The sequence below is a fragment of the Homo sapiens genome, chromosome 8 (genome assembly GCF_000001405.40).
Source record: "Homo sapiens chromosome 8, GRCh38.p14 Primary Assembly".
NCBI classification, from domain to species: Eukaryota; Metazoa; Chordata; class Mammalia; order Primates; family Hominidae; genus Homo; species Homo sapiens.
In genome coordinates, this window is record NC_000008.11 from 28479669 (window position 1) to 28492460 (window position 12792).

General features: G+C 46.2%; 1 protein-coding gene across 2 annotated transcripts in view, besides 1 other annotated feature; it reads right to left on the bottom strand.

Annotated features, from left to right (window-relative positions):
* The window catches only part of FBXO16 (F-box protein 16), a 61818-nt gene extending 51257 nt beyond the window's left edge, over nt 1–10561 (bottom strand). For both annotated transcript variants that reach the window (NM_001258211.2, NM_172366.4), the window contains exons 1-2: nt 10518–10561; nt 3680–3794 (exon numbers count right to left, since the gene is read on the bottom strand). In NM_001258211.2, the coding sequence (NP_001245140.1) occupies nt 3680–3778 (99 nt within the window). In that variant the 5' untranslated portion in view covers nt 3779–3794; nt 10518–10561. The remainder of the gene's footprint in view (nt 1–3679; nt 3795–10517) is intronic.
* Nucleotides 10327–10446: an enhancer, noted in NCBI's record as "active region_27174". NCBI's record gives its function as "activates an Ori minimal core promoter by ATAC-STARR-seq in GM12878 lymphoblastoid cells {active_cell/tissue: GM12878}" and the evidence as "EXISTENCE:reporter gene assay evidence [ECO:0000049][PMID:35858748]".

Sequence of the window (12792 nt, forward strand, 5' to 3'; positions counted from 1 at the left end):
GCAAACAGGTGCTCAGTAAATTACTGTTGAGCTGGATAAAAACTATTTTCTTTCTTTCTTTTTTTAGAGACAGGGTCTCTCTCTCTCTGTCACTCAGGCTGGAGTGCAGTGGTACAATCGTGGCTTACCCCAACCTCCAACTCCTGGGCTCAAGCGATCCTCCTGCCTCAGCCTCCCAAGTAGCTGGGACCATAGGCATGCACCATCACGCCAGGCTAATATTTTATTTTACTTTTTTTTTTTTTTAAATAAAGATGAGGTCGCACTATGTTGCCCAGGCTGGTCTTAAACTCTTGGCCTCAAGCGATCCACCGGCCTCACCCTCCCAAAGTGCTGGGATTACAGACCTGAGCCACTGTGCCTGGCCCCCAAAAGTTTTTCAATAGATTTGCTTGGTGTTCCTGGCTAGATGAAGGCTGAATCTGTCTCTCTCCCTCTTTCTCTGCCTTTCCTTTTGTTTCTCCTGGTCCGTCTATTTTTTTTCTCATTCTCTTTCCTCTTTCCTCATTTCCTTTATCATTTTCCTTTTTCAGTCTCTCTCCATTTTATTTCTCACTATTCCAATCTCTACCTTGGCCCTTCTGTTCCTCTTCTAAAATTGCTCATCAGTAGAAACTGATTTGACTAGAAATAGAAGGTACTGAGCAGGAGGGTTCAGGTTTGATGACGGCTTTGCCAAGGGATGAGCCCATCTATTGAGTTTAGAGGGGCAGAGGGGCAAATCCAGGCTAAGGACACAAAGATGAAGAGGCAGGAAGACAAGAGTCAATGAAACAGGTACCAGGGAGTAGACCTGAACTCTGATTCAATTTCTTTTTTCTTTTTCTTTCTTTCTTTTTTTTTTCTTTTCCTGAGACAGAGTCTCACTCTGTTGCCCAGGCACTGAGTGTAGTGGTGCAATCTTGACTCACTGCAACCTCCACCTCCTGGGTTCAAGTGATTCTTCTGCCTCAGCCTCCCGAGAAGCTGGGACTACAGGGGTGCATCACCATGCCCAGCTAATTTTTATATTTTTTAGTAGAGATGGGGTTTTACCATGTTGGCCAGGCTGGTCTTGAATTCCTGACCTCAGGTGATCCACTCGCCTTGGCCTCCCAAAGTGCTGGGATTACAAGTGTGAGCCACTGTGCCTAGCCCTGACTCCATTTCTTATGCTTCAGGAACCAAACCAGGTTCCTGGAGGTACAGAGAGAAAAGACGGAATCTCAACTCTTCATGCATGGGAGTTGACTGGGAAAGCCAGTAAACAGTGATGAGAGCAAAGAAAAGGAAGCAGGACACGGGGAGGCTTCACAGAGGAAAGGACATTTGAATGGACTCAGATAGGAGGCGAGGGCGAGAGCACATGCAAAGGCATGGAGGTGTGGGAGAGCAGGGTTCACTCGGGGGCCCCGAGCCGGGCCTGGGCATCAGATGTGAGGGAGCAGTGGCAGGGGTGGAGCCGGGAAGTTGGCTGAGGTCAGATCATGAAAGATCCTCAACGCTATGCCTGGGGGTGTTGGAATTTACTCTTGGGAGTGGAGTCTATTATTGGTTTCACATAATAGAATCGGAATCTTAGAAAGATCTCTCTGGGACAAGAATAGAGGATGGAGTGGCAGGGACAGAGCCAGTGAAAGCAGTTAGGGGGTGACTGCAGTGTACTAGACAAAGGGTGCAGACAGTGTCAGCTGAGAATGGAGCTGGAAGTAGATAAGCGGGTGGAGAAGAGAGGCCTGAATGAGAGATTGGGAGGAGGACTCAGAGTACTGGAAAGCAAATTACATATGGAGGCAAGGGAGCGTTGGTAGACACTTCTCTGTGTGCCTCTCACACTCCGAAACATCTTGGCATGCCAAGAATGCAAGGGCCTGAGCATTCGTGGCGAGTGCGGTGGCTCACGCCTGTAATCCCAGCACTTTGGAAGGCTGAGGCGGGTGGATCATGAGGTCAAGAGGTCGAGACCATCCTGGCCAACATCGTGAAACCCTGTCTCCACTAAAAATACAAAAATCAGCTGGGTGTGGTAGTGTGCGCCTGTAGTCCCAGCTACTCAGGAGGCTGAGGCAACAGAATCGCTTGAACCCGGGAGGTGGAGGTTGTAGTGAGCCGAGATCGCACCACTGCACTCCAGTCTGGTGACACAGTGAGACTCTGTTTCAGGAAAAAAAAAAAAAAAAGAATGCAAGGCCCTGAGCATTCGTGACTTGGGCCATTCTTGCAGGTTGTGTCTGCAGTAAGGCAACCTTGAGGGATGAGGTAATGTCTCCCTTTGGGAGCAACAGCAGGCTGACTTACTGCTTACTATGAAAAGAAGTGGATGCCCTGGGCTCACTGTTCCTCAGCTGGGTGCAAACCACTGTTACGTGTATCATTTACCTGGGCCCTATGTGTCACACCTGTGGGACGGGGAGGACCAGCAGAACCCACGCAAACATAACGTTCATGCCACTCGCTGCTTTGTGAGTAAAGTTGTTTTTGACCCAAGAATCTCATCTTTTATTGTGAAACAGCAGAGTCTTCTATTCCATAAGTCACAGGCTAACTTATTAGCTTGTAATCTGGGGGAAAATCAAATCCCAGACTGGACAGGGAGAAGCAGAATTTCTGGCTTGATTGACTTGGTATAAAATAGTGCCTCTCATAGCGGGGAGGAACTGGTGTGTAGGAGCAAGAGGATGAGGTCAGTTTTATATATGGTGATTGTGTTTTCCTGAAAAATAGGTGTGGTCCTTGCATACAGCGATTGGTCACTGGAGCTCACAGACCTGTTGGTAAATTCTGTCCCTAACTGAAGCAGGAATAGAAACCCCTAGAGGCTGGTCAGTCTCACACCCCAGCCGTCCACCGTGATCCTTTAGTGTATTCCGCTAGCACCTTCCCAGAGTGCAGGTGGAAAATAAACGTCTTTGTTGTTGTTGTTCTTATTGTTGTTGTTGTTGAGACAGAGTTTCCTCTTGTTGCCCAAGCGGGAGTGCAATGGTGTGATCTTGGCTCACTGCAACCTCCGCCTCCTGGGTTCAAGCGATTCTCCCGCCTCAGCCTCCCGAGTAGCTGGGATTACAGGTACACACCACCACGCCCAGCTAATTTTTTTTTTTTTGTATTTTTAGTAGAAACGGGGTTTCACCATGTTAACCAGGCTGGTCTCGAACCCCTGACCTCAGATGATCCACCTGCCTTGGCCTCCCAAAGTGCTGGGATTATAAGCATGAGCCACCGCACCCAGCCATGAAAATAAACGTCTTAAGAGAACCTGAGTAATGTGAATAATCAGTTGAAATGTATGCATTTTATGTATCTTATTAAATGTGCAGCATTACCCAGCAACCTCAACTATACCAAGAAAACTGGGTTTGGGGGAATGCCATGGACCACTCTCTCCTTTCTCAGTCCTGGTGGTTCCAGGGGAGAACAAGTGATGGAAGAAAAATGGCGAGTGGGGTGGGAGAGGAAGGTGACAGTGGGGGAAAGAACAAATCCAAGACATTTTTTTCTTGGGCAAGGACTTTGGGTCTATTGCCAGCCTTGCCCATATAGCATGGGTTCAATAAAAGTTTTGGAATATCTTCATTTTGGTTTTTATTCATCCATTACACAATCTTAAATAATCCCTGTTCATATTTTGGTAAGTAAAATTTTAATATCTTTTTTCCTTTCAGTCATGGATTCAATTGTTAAAATAGTTCTGGTCACTTACCCGGTCATTCAATAGCTGATGGTTTAGGGGTGTCCAGGTGCTCATCTTTGTCTGCATTTTGGGACCATCTGTGTTTTTTGGAGGTGCAAATGCCATCATGAAACAACTGGATATCCTTCCATAAGAAAAACAACACCTATCAGAAGAAGTGAATCATATAACCCTCAGAAAACAAAAATTACTAATACCAGCCAGGCACGATGGCTCACGCCTGTAATTCCAGCACTTTGGGAGGCTGAGGTGGGCGGATCACTTGAGGTCAAGGATTCGAGACCAGCCTGGCCAACATGGTGAAACCCTGTCTCTACTAAAAATAAATGTAATAAACAAACAAACAAACAAACAAATAAAAAATAGCCGGGCGTGGTGGTGCATGCCTGTAATCACAGCTACTAGGCAGGAGAGTCACTTGAACTCCAGAGGTGGAGGTTGCAGTGAGCCAAGATGGCACCACTGTACTCCAGCCTGGGCAGCAGAGCGAGACTCCACCTCAAAAAAAACAATACTAATACCATATAATTTTTTAGCATGTTGGCAGAGGGAATGCGGTGGGAAGAGCATTTATTGGGGGCATGTTATATGTCAAGCACTTCATACATCTCCTCAATGGAAGTGCACAATTACCTGGTGAGGTGGTGGGTTTTAACTCATTTTACACACGAGGAAGATTTGGCTTATTGATGTTACCCTGTCCAAGGTCATACAGATAGCAAGTGGTGTAACTGGTAGTCAGACCCAGGTCAGTTTGATGCCACTTTATTTTCACTGGACTCTGGGGGGAAATCCAGAATCACTCCTAGCTAAGGACATACTATATTGGCCAGGAAGAGAAGTATTTTAAATTTAAAATCATCATGCAATATGAAACACTTCATTCTTGTCCCTTGTTATATTAATTCTCCTTCTCCCCTCTTAATTTCCAGATATCCAAGTAACAGGAACTCCTGCCTGACAGCGTATTGAAGAGGTAGCATGGTGGGAGAGACAAAGCCAAGGCTTTGGAAATGAACAGATTTGAGTTTATTGGGGGAAACTTGCTATTTTTAGTTATCCAGTATATGTCTGCCTCCTTTTGATTAAAGCACTTTAATTTTCAGGAGGAATTAATTCTCCCTCATTGTTTAGAGCCTGATGGTTTAATTAATTAAGGTAGCCTGTCCTTCCCCAGCCAAGAGATGGTCATGAGACCAGGCTAGGCCAGTTGGGCTGACAATAGCTTACTCTTAATCTTATTTTATTTTATTAACTGATTGATTTATTTTGAGACAGAGTCTCGCTCTGTCGCCCAGGCTGGAGGGCAGTAGTACGATCTCGGCTCACTGCAAGCTCCGCCTTCCGGGTTCACACCATTCTCCTGCCTCAGCCTCCCGGGTAGCTGGGACTACAGGCGCCCGCCATCACGCCCAGCTAATATTTTTTGTATTTTTAGTAGAGACGGGGTTTCACCGTGTTAGCCAGGATGGTCTCGATCTCCTGACCTCATGATCCACCCCCCCTGGGCCTCCCAAAGTGCTGGGATTACAGGCGTGAGCCACCGCGCCCGGCCAAGATGGAGTCTTGCTCTATCACCCAGGCTCGAGTGCAGTGACACGATCTCGGCTCACCACAACCTCCGCTTCCCAGGTTCAAGCGATCCTCCTGCCTCAGCTCCCCTAGTAGCTGATTGGGAGTAGTTTTGATATATACACTCAGGGTTGCAGGCTTCTGCATTTTCCACTCTGTGATGGTGGGTTTCACAAGGACAGGTAGAAGAGATGGCTAAGGGGACCAGGGCCTGCTCGCCTGATCAATGGGCTCCACAAATGACCCCACAGCAACAGATACTGGATATTTTTTATTTTTTGAGAAGGAGTCTTGCCCTGTTTCCCAGGCTGCCGTACAGTGGTGCAGACATGGCTCACTGCAACCTGCACCTCCCAGGTTCAAGCGCTTCTCCTGGCTTAGCCTCCCGAGTAGCTAGGACTACAGGCACCTGCCACCACGACTGGCTAATTTTTGTATTTTTAGTAGAGATGGGGTTTCACCATGTTGGCTAGGCTGGTCTCGAACTCCTGATCTCAGGTGATCTGCACACCTCAGCCTCCCAAAGTGCTGGGATTACAGGCACAAGCCACTGTGCCCGACCTTTGATAATTTTTTTTTAATCATTATATTTTGGCTAGTATGGGATTTTCCCAAACACTATCTGAGATCTTTGAGGTTCTCATTTGACATGTAATATTCTCTCTCAGGAAGATAAAGCCCACGTTTTAAACCCTCTGGGGTGTCAAGACAATGCCTTCCTTCAGTTGCCTGTTGCCAATATGCCACTGGAATGAGGGGCACTCAGATCAGCACTCAGGTTCTTTTCAGCCTCAACAGCTAACTATCGGACTCACATTTAGGTAAGTTACTAAGCCAAAAGAAATGATTTCATTACAGTAATTTTAACTGGCAGCTAATGATAAAAGTACATGTGAGCAGGCAAGTTATAGATACAGGCCGGCATGGTGCCTCACACCTGTAATAGCAGCACTTTGGGAGGCTGAGGCAGGCGGATCACCTGAAGTCAGGAGTTCGAGGCCAGCCTGACCAACATGGTAAAACTCCATCTCTACTAAAAATACAAAAATTATCTGGGCATGGTGGCCCACCTATAATACCAGCTACTCAGGAGGCTGAGGCAGGAGAATCGCTTAAACCCAGGAGGTGGAGGTTGCAGTGAGCTGAGGTCGCGCCACTGCACTCCAGCCTGGGTGACAGAGTAAGACTCTGTCTCAAAAAAAAAAAAAAAAGTTACAGATACAAAGTGTAGCCACTGAGTCTAGATCTCCCCAGCTAAAAAGTGATATATCTGTTTTTGTTGTTGTTATTTATTTATTTTCTACATTTCTTCTTCTTCTTCTTTTTTTTTTTTGGAAGAGTTTTGTTGTTGTTGCCCAGGCTGGAGTGCAATGGTGCGATCTTGGCTCACTGCAACCTCCGCCTCCTGGGTTCAAGTGATTCTCCTGCTTTAGCCTCCCTAGTAGCTGAGATTACAGGTATGAGCCACCAGGCCCAGCTAATTTTATAGTTTTAGTAGAGACAGGGTTTCACCATGTTGGTCAGGCTGGTCTCAAACTCCTGACCTCAGGTGATCCACCAGCCTAAGCCTCCCAAAGTGCTGGGATTACAGGCGTAAGCCACCGCCGCGCCTGGGCTACATTTCTTCTTTTAAAACTAGTTGTTTTGTTGCCTGTAATCCCAGCACTTGGGAGGCTGAAGCAGAAAGACTGCTTGAGCCCAGGAATCTGAGACCAGACTGGGCAACATCGAGAGACCTTATCTCTACACAAAGTAAAAAAACCAAAAAATTAGCTGGGCTTAGTGGTGCACGCCTGTGGTCCCAGCTACTTGGGGTGGGGGCAGAGGGCTGAGGTGGGAGAATCGTTTGGGCCCAGGAGGTTGAGGCTGCGGTAAGCTGTGATTGCACCACTGTACTCCAGCCTGGGCAACAGAGCAAGACCGTTTTTAAAAAATAATAAAAACATAAAAATTAAATTCGTTGTTCTGAATCCTTTCTTAAGAGCTACATGGCTCTTGAAGAATATGATGAAAGCTATGAATTCTCCCCCTAGAAAAATGCACATACACGCAAAATTTTGCTTACCCCTGCTCTATGCTGAACAACTCTCTCCTTTCCAGTTTGTGTAGGAAACCATGTGACTGATCCTAGGCACATCCTTCTGAATGAGGAGAAGTAGCTTTCCTTGGTAACTCCCCCAAGCGCCTGCACTGGTTGTTTTCTTTTTCCTGGTTCCTCAGAACTACATGTCACTTAGATTAGACTTTCTTTCAACCTGCTTGAAGATGGGTTTTCAGCAGATGGGCCTGGCCCCAGGAAGCAGCCCTCTTGGCCATATAGGCCTGCTGAAGTGTGCCAATGTGGACGTCCTGCCTCGTCTCTTGCTATTATCCTTTTACAGTATTTTCCTCCTTCCTCCATTCCAGAAGACAGGCAGCGTGTATATTTGCATGCACATACATGTTCACAGAACAGACCATTTGCTACTATTAAGAAGACAGATTTTTTTTTTTTTTTTTTTTGAGATGAAGTCTCACTCTTTTGCCCAGGCTGGAGTGCAGTGGCGTGATCTCGGCTTACTGCACCTACGCTTCCCAGGTTCAAGAGATTCTGCTACCTCAGGCTCCCGAGTAGCTGGGATTACAGGCATGCACCACCATGCCTGGGTAATTTTTGTATTTTTAGTAGAGATGCGGTTTTCCCCATGTTGGTCAGGCTTGTCTTGAACTCCTGACCTCAAGTGATCTGCCTACCTTGGCTTCCCAAAGTGCTGGGATTACAGGTGTGAGCTGCTGCGCCCAGCTACAGAGATTTTCATATAACACATACAAAACATAATTGTCCCCACTTAATCAACAAAATAAAGCAAGTTGTCATCCCTCCTTCCACAGATGTCTTGCTGTTGCTTTTTTGTGATCTCCTTCCCTGTAAGGACTACCTTTGAATATTCATCTTTTTTTCTTTTTTTTTTTTTAGAGGTGGAGCAAAATCTTGCTCTGTCGCCCAGGCTGGAGTGCAGTGGCACAAACTCGGCTCACCACAACCTCCGCCTCCCAGGTTCAAGCAATCCTCCTGCCTCAGCCTCCCAAGTAGCTGGGATTATAGGCGCCTGCCACCACACCCAGCTAATTTTTGTATTTTTAGTAGAGATGGGGTTTCACTATGTTGGTCAGGCTGGTCTCAAACTCCTGACCTCGTGATCCACCCACTTCGGCCTCCCAAAGTGCTGGGATTACAGGCATGAGCCACTGCGCCCAGCCAAATATTCATCTTTAATTTTTCTTAGAATTAAAATACAGAAAGAGGGCCTACGACCCTAGTTCTTGACATATGGTTCTAGTCTCATTTTCAATAGCAAGGATGGGTCCCCTGGCCACATACTTCCAATTTGATCTTCTAAGCCTTTTTTTTTTTTTTTTTTTTTTTGACAAGGTCTTGCTCTGTCACTCAGGCTGGAGGGCAGTGGTGTGATCACAGCTCACCATAGCCTCAACCTCCTGGGCTCAAGCAATTCTCCATGTCAGCCTCCCAAGTAGCAGAGAATATAGGTGTGCACCACCACACCTGGCTAATTTTTTTTTTTTTGTATTTTTTGTAGAGATAAGGTCTTGCTTTGTTGCCCAAGCTGGTCTCAAACTTCTGGGCTCAAGCAATCCACCACCTCAGCCTCCCAAAGTGCTGAGATTACAAAGGCGAGCCACTACCTCCTGCCTTAAGCCATTCTTCACACTGTCATCATTATTTAACCACCTTACTAAGTATCTACAAGGCAGGTGTTAGGGGTACAACGATAAGAGTCTGCTTTAATGGAGCTCACAGTCTCCTGTTAGGTATTTTTTAAAAGACCAGTTGATCATGTCACTTTTCAGCTCAAAACCTTCAGAGGTTCACTGACAGCTACAGGATCCAGACTTCCTCGCGTGGAAGTCTAGGTCTGCCATGATTTTACCTCCATCTACTCTTTCAGTCTCACCTGGCCCCACCTTCATGCGCTCTCTGCCCAGACACACTGAACTCATGGCCACTCTGAGAACGTGCCACACAACTCTGATGATTCTTGGCTTATGTGGTTTTCTGATGCTCACTGCTCACCTGAATCATCACAGTAGTATACTCAATATTTGTTAAATCAATAGAAAAAATGACTACAGCAGTGCAAGTGGGGAGCAGTTTAAGGATTAAAACTTGTAGAAATGTTTGGGAGGCTGAGGTGGGTGAATCACCTGAGCTCAGGAGTTCAAGACCAGCCTGGGCAACACAGTGAAACCTCGTCTCTACCAAAAACAAAACAAAAGCAAAAAATTAGCAGAGCGTGGTGGTGTGTGCCTATAGTCCCAGCTACTTGGGAGGCTGAGGTGGGAGGACTGCTTGAGCCTGGGAGGCAGAGGTTGCAGTGAGCCAAGATCATGCCACTGCACTCCAGCCTGGGGGACAGAGTGCGACTCCATCTTGAAAAACAAAAAAACACCAACACCACCACCACCACAATTTGTAGAAATGTTGACCAAGTGTGGTGGCTCACGCCTATAATCCCCGCATTTTGGGAGGCTGAGGCAGGAGGATCTCTTGAGCCCAGGAGTTGAAGCCCAGGAATTCCAGACCAGCCTGGGCAACACAGCAAAACCCTATCTCTACAAAAAAAAAAAAAAAAAAAATTGCCAGGTGTGGGTGTGGCGGTGGGCTCCTATAGTCCCAGCTACTCAGGAGGCTGAGATGGAAGGATTCCTTGAGCCCAGGAGTTCAAGGCTGCAGTGAGCGATGATTGCACCACTGCAGTTCAGCCTGGGCAACACGGCAAGACCCTGTCTCAAAAAACAAAAACCAACAAAAAAAAAAAAACCCTTGTAGAATTGTAGAAATGTAGAGTGAAACTCATAACATGATACTGGGCTCTGGGGTTATATGCAGAGTTTACTGAGCATAATAGGACTGGGTCTCTCTGCTAACAGAATTTACCCATACATTGTAATATCATCAGACAAGGGAATCTCAAATTATTATCAGGAAATTATCAAGAAATAGCGTATGGGTAGATTTCAATACGAATTCATCTTCCGCTTAACTAGTTTTTAAAAAGCAAGAACTATAACACAACGCAAAAAGCTAATGCTTGGTAGGCATATAATTATCTGTGGGTTGTTAATTTCACAAGTATGAATATCTGGCGGTTGCACTGTAGCCCAAATGAGAGGGCACAATGAAATCCCCAAGAGCACTGATAAAGCTCATGGGAGGCCCTGGAGCTTTCCAAAGAGAGAGTCTCCATCTTTTTCATGCACTGCCCACAGCTCTCACCTCTTTTAGCTTGTCTCCCTCTTCAAGCCTCAAGCGCTGACGTTGCCACAGTTTCATTAGGTCAGCTTTTTCTCCGACTCCCTCCAGTCCCTCACCCCTCCCAGCTTCCAGCAGCCCAATCACCGTCTATAAATCCCGTCGCTGGCATCCGGGGTCTCTTAGGCAACAATGTGTGGGCTCCTGATTGGCCGCGAGATCCAGGAGGGCTGGCTACAAAATTGGGCACGGGGATAAAATTAACAAGTGTGGCGGCCAAGAGCGTGGGAGGGACTGCAATGTCTCAATATAACCCTAGAATGAAGACGCGTCGAATCCTGAAACAAGTAGCGTTGAAAACCTTCATTCAAGACGTAGTGTGTCCCAAATCAGCCCTACCTACGGAGCACGCCCAGTCACATTGTCCTGGTCACTCCGGAGCTGCGAAATGCAGGCTCCACTGTGCCAGGTTTTAAGAGTGGCCAACAGGTAAACAGAGGGTTGGAGGAAAAAGAATTCGAGACTGGTTCAATGAAAGAATAGCACCTGCAACAGGAAGTGGAAGGATGGGGCCAGGAGGAATTGCCCAACACAGAGACACACAAATGCTTCAATGCAAATTTCAATTTATTGGATTATAGAATTCAGGCTGACTGACAGATACACCAGGGAACCAGCAGATGGCATGCCCTAATAAGAATAACTAAATTTAGGAACTCTTAGAATCCCGTCCAATTCATTAAATTTATTGAGCGCCTGTCTTGTAATACGAAGCAAAATGAGAATACAAAGATAAAAAAGAAATCTAAAGAGGAAGACTGGAAGGTGCAATATACAAATATTTAATGGAAGGCTCACACGGGTAACAGCTGTTATAGAGTTATGAACAAGTGCTGGAGGATACCAAAAAGTTCAAAATTCCGGAACAGAGGTCCTTTGGTCAATGTAAAGCAGGTCTTATAGGCAGCAGTCAACAACAACAAAAAGCAAAACAACAGCAAAAAGAGACTTTCCTTACTATCTTTTTTTCTCAAAATAAATAAGAATGCACTCCCCTTCCACTTAAATGTACAAACCCTGTGTTTCTGTTGTGTTTTACAGGTTTTATTTTTATTTTTGGGGGGAACGGAGTTTTGCTCTTATTGCCCAGGCTGGAGTGCATTGGTGCGATCTCAGGTTACTGCAACCTCCGCCTCTCGGGTTCAAGCGATTCTCCTGCCTCAGCCTCCTGAGTAGCGGGGATTACAAGCATGCGTCACCATGCCCGGCTAATTTTTTTGTATTTTTAGTAGAGACGGGGTTTCACCATGTTGGCCAGGCTGGTTTCGAACTCCTGACCTCAGGTGATCTGCCCGCCTCGGCATCCTGGAGTGCTGGGATTACAGGCGTGAGCCACCGTGCCCGACCTGTTTTATAGTTTTTAAATAGGCAGCATTTGTATATCTCTAGTTTAAAAAGAAAAAAATGAAGCTCATAGAAGTTGTTGCTTTCCTTGGGTTAAAATGGATCAGTAAGTGGGCAAGCTGAAATTAGAACCTAGGTTGTTTGAATTCCAGCCTAGGGATTTTTTCCACATGACCGGGTTGTACCTAAATGAATAAACAAAGCCTTGGGGGCAGAGGCGGTGAGGGGGTGGCCTGGAGGAGGTACTTAGATGCAATACTAAATTACCATGCATTACCAGTTAGCTTTTATGGTTTCAAAACGGGTTCATCCAGAAAGAGACCAGTTTTAACAATGTTGGGAGTGCTGTGTCTCTCTATGAAGTTCCCGCTCATTAAAGACTTCGTATTGGTGGTTACAACATGGAATGAAAGAGAGATGGGATCACAGAGAGCATCTCCTTTAGCCCTGTTGGATTTGAATATTTTCATCCCTGAAAAGAAGGTCTCTTTCTTCTTGCCTCTCAACCAACATCTTCTGGGCCTCCTCTTGTCCTGCACCTCATCATCAGACTACTGTCCTCCCAAAAGAACCTGAGTCACACCATCCACACTGTCTGTGTTCACAGTGAGCACATAGAGCTCCATGTCTGACACTGCAACATTACTTTTTTTTTTTTTTTAAGAGACAGGGATGGCTTTGTTGCCCAGGCTGCAGTGTAGTGGCTCACTACAGCTTTGAACTCCTGGGCTCAAGCAATCCTCCCAGGCTAATTTTTTAGTTTTTATTTTTGTAGAGACAGGATCTTGCTATGTCCCCCAGACTGGTCTCCAACTCCTGGCTCAAGTGATCCTCTCTCCTCGGCTTTCCAAAATGCTGGGATTACAGGTCTGAACCACCTCACTCAGCCCCAAAT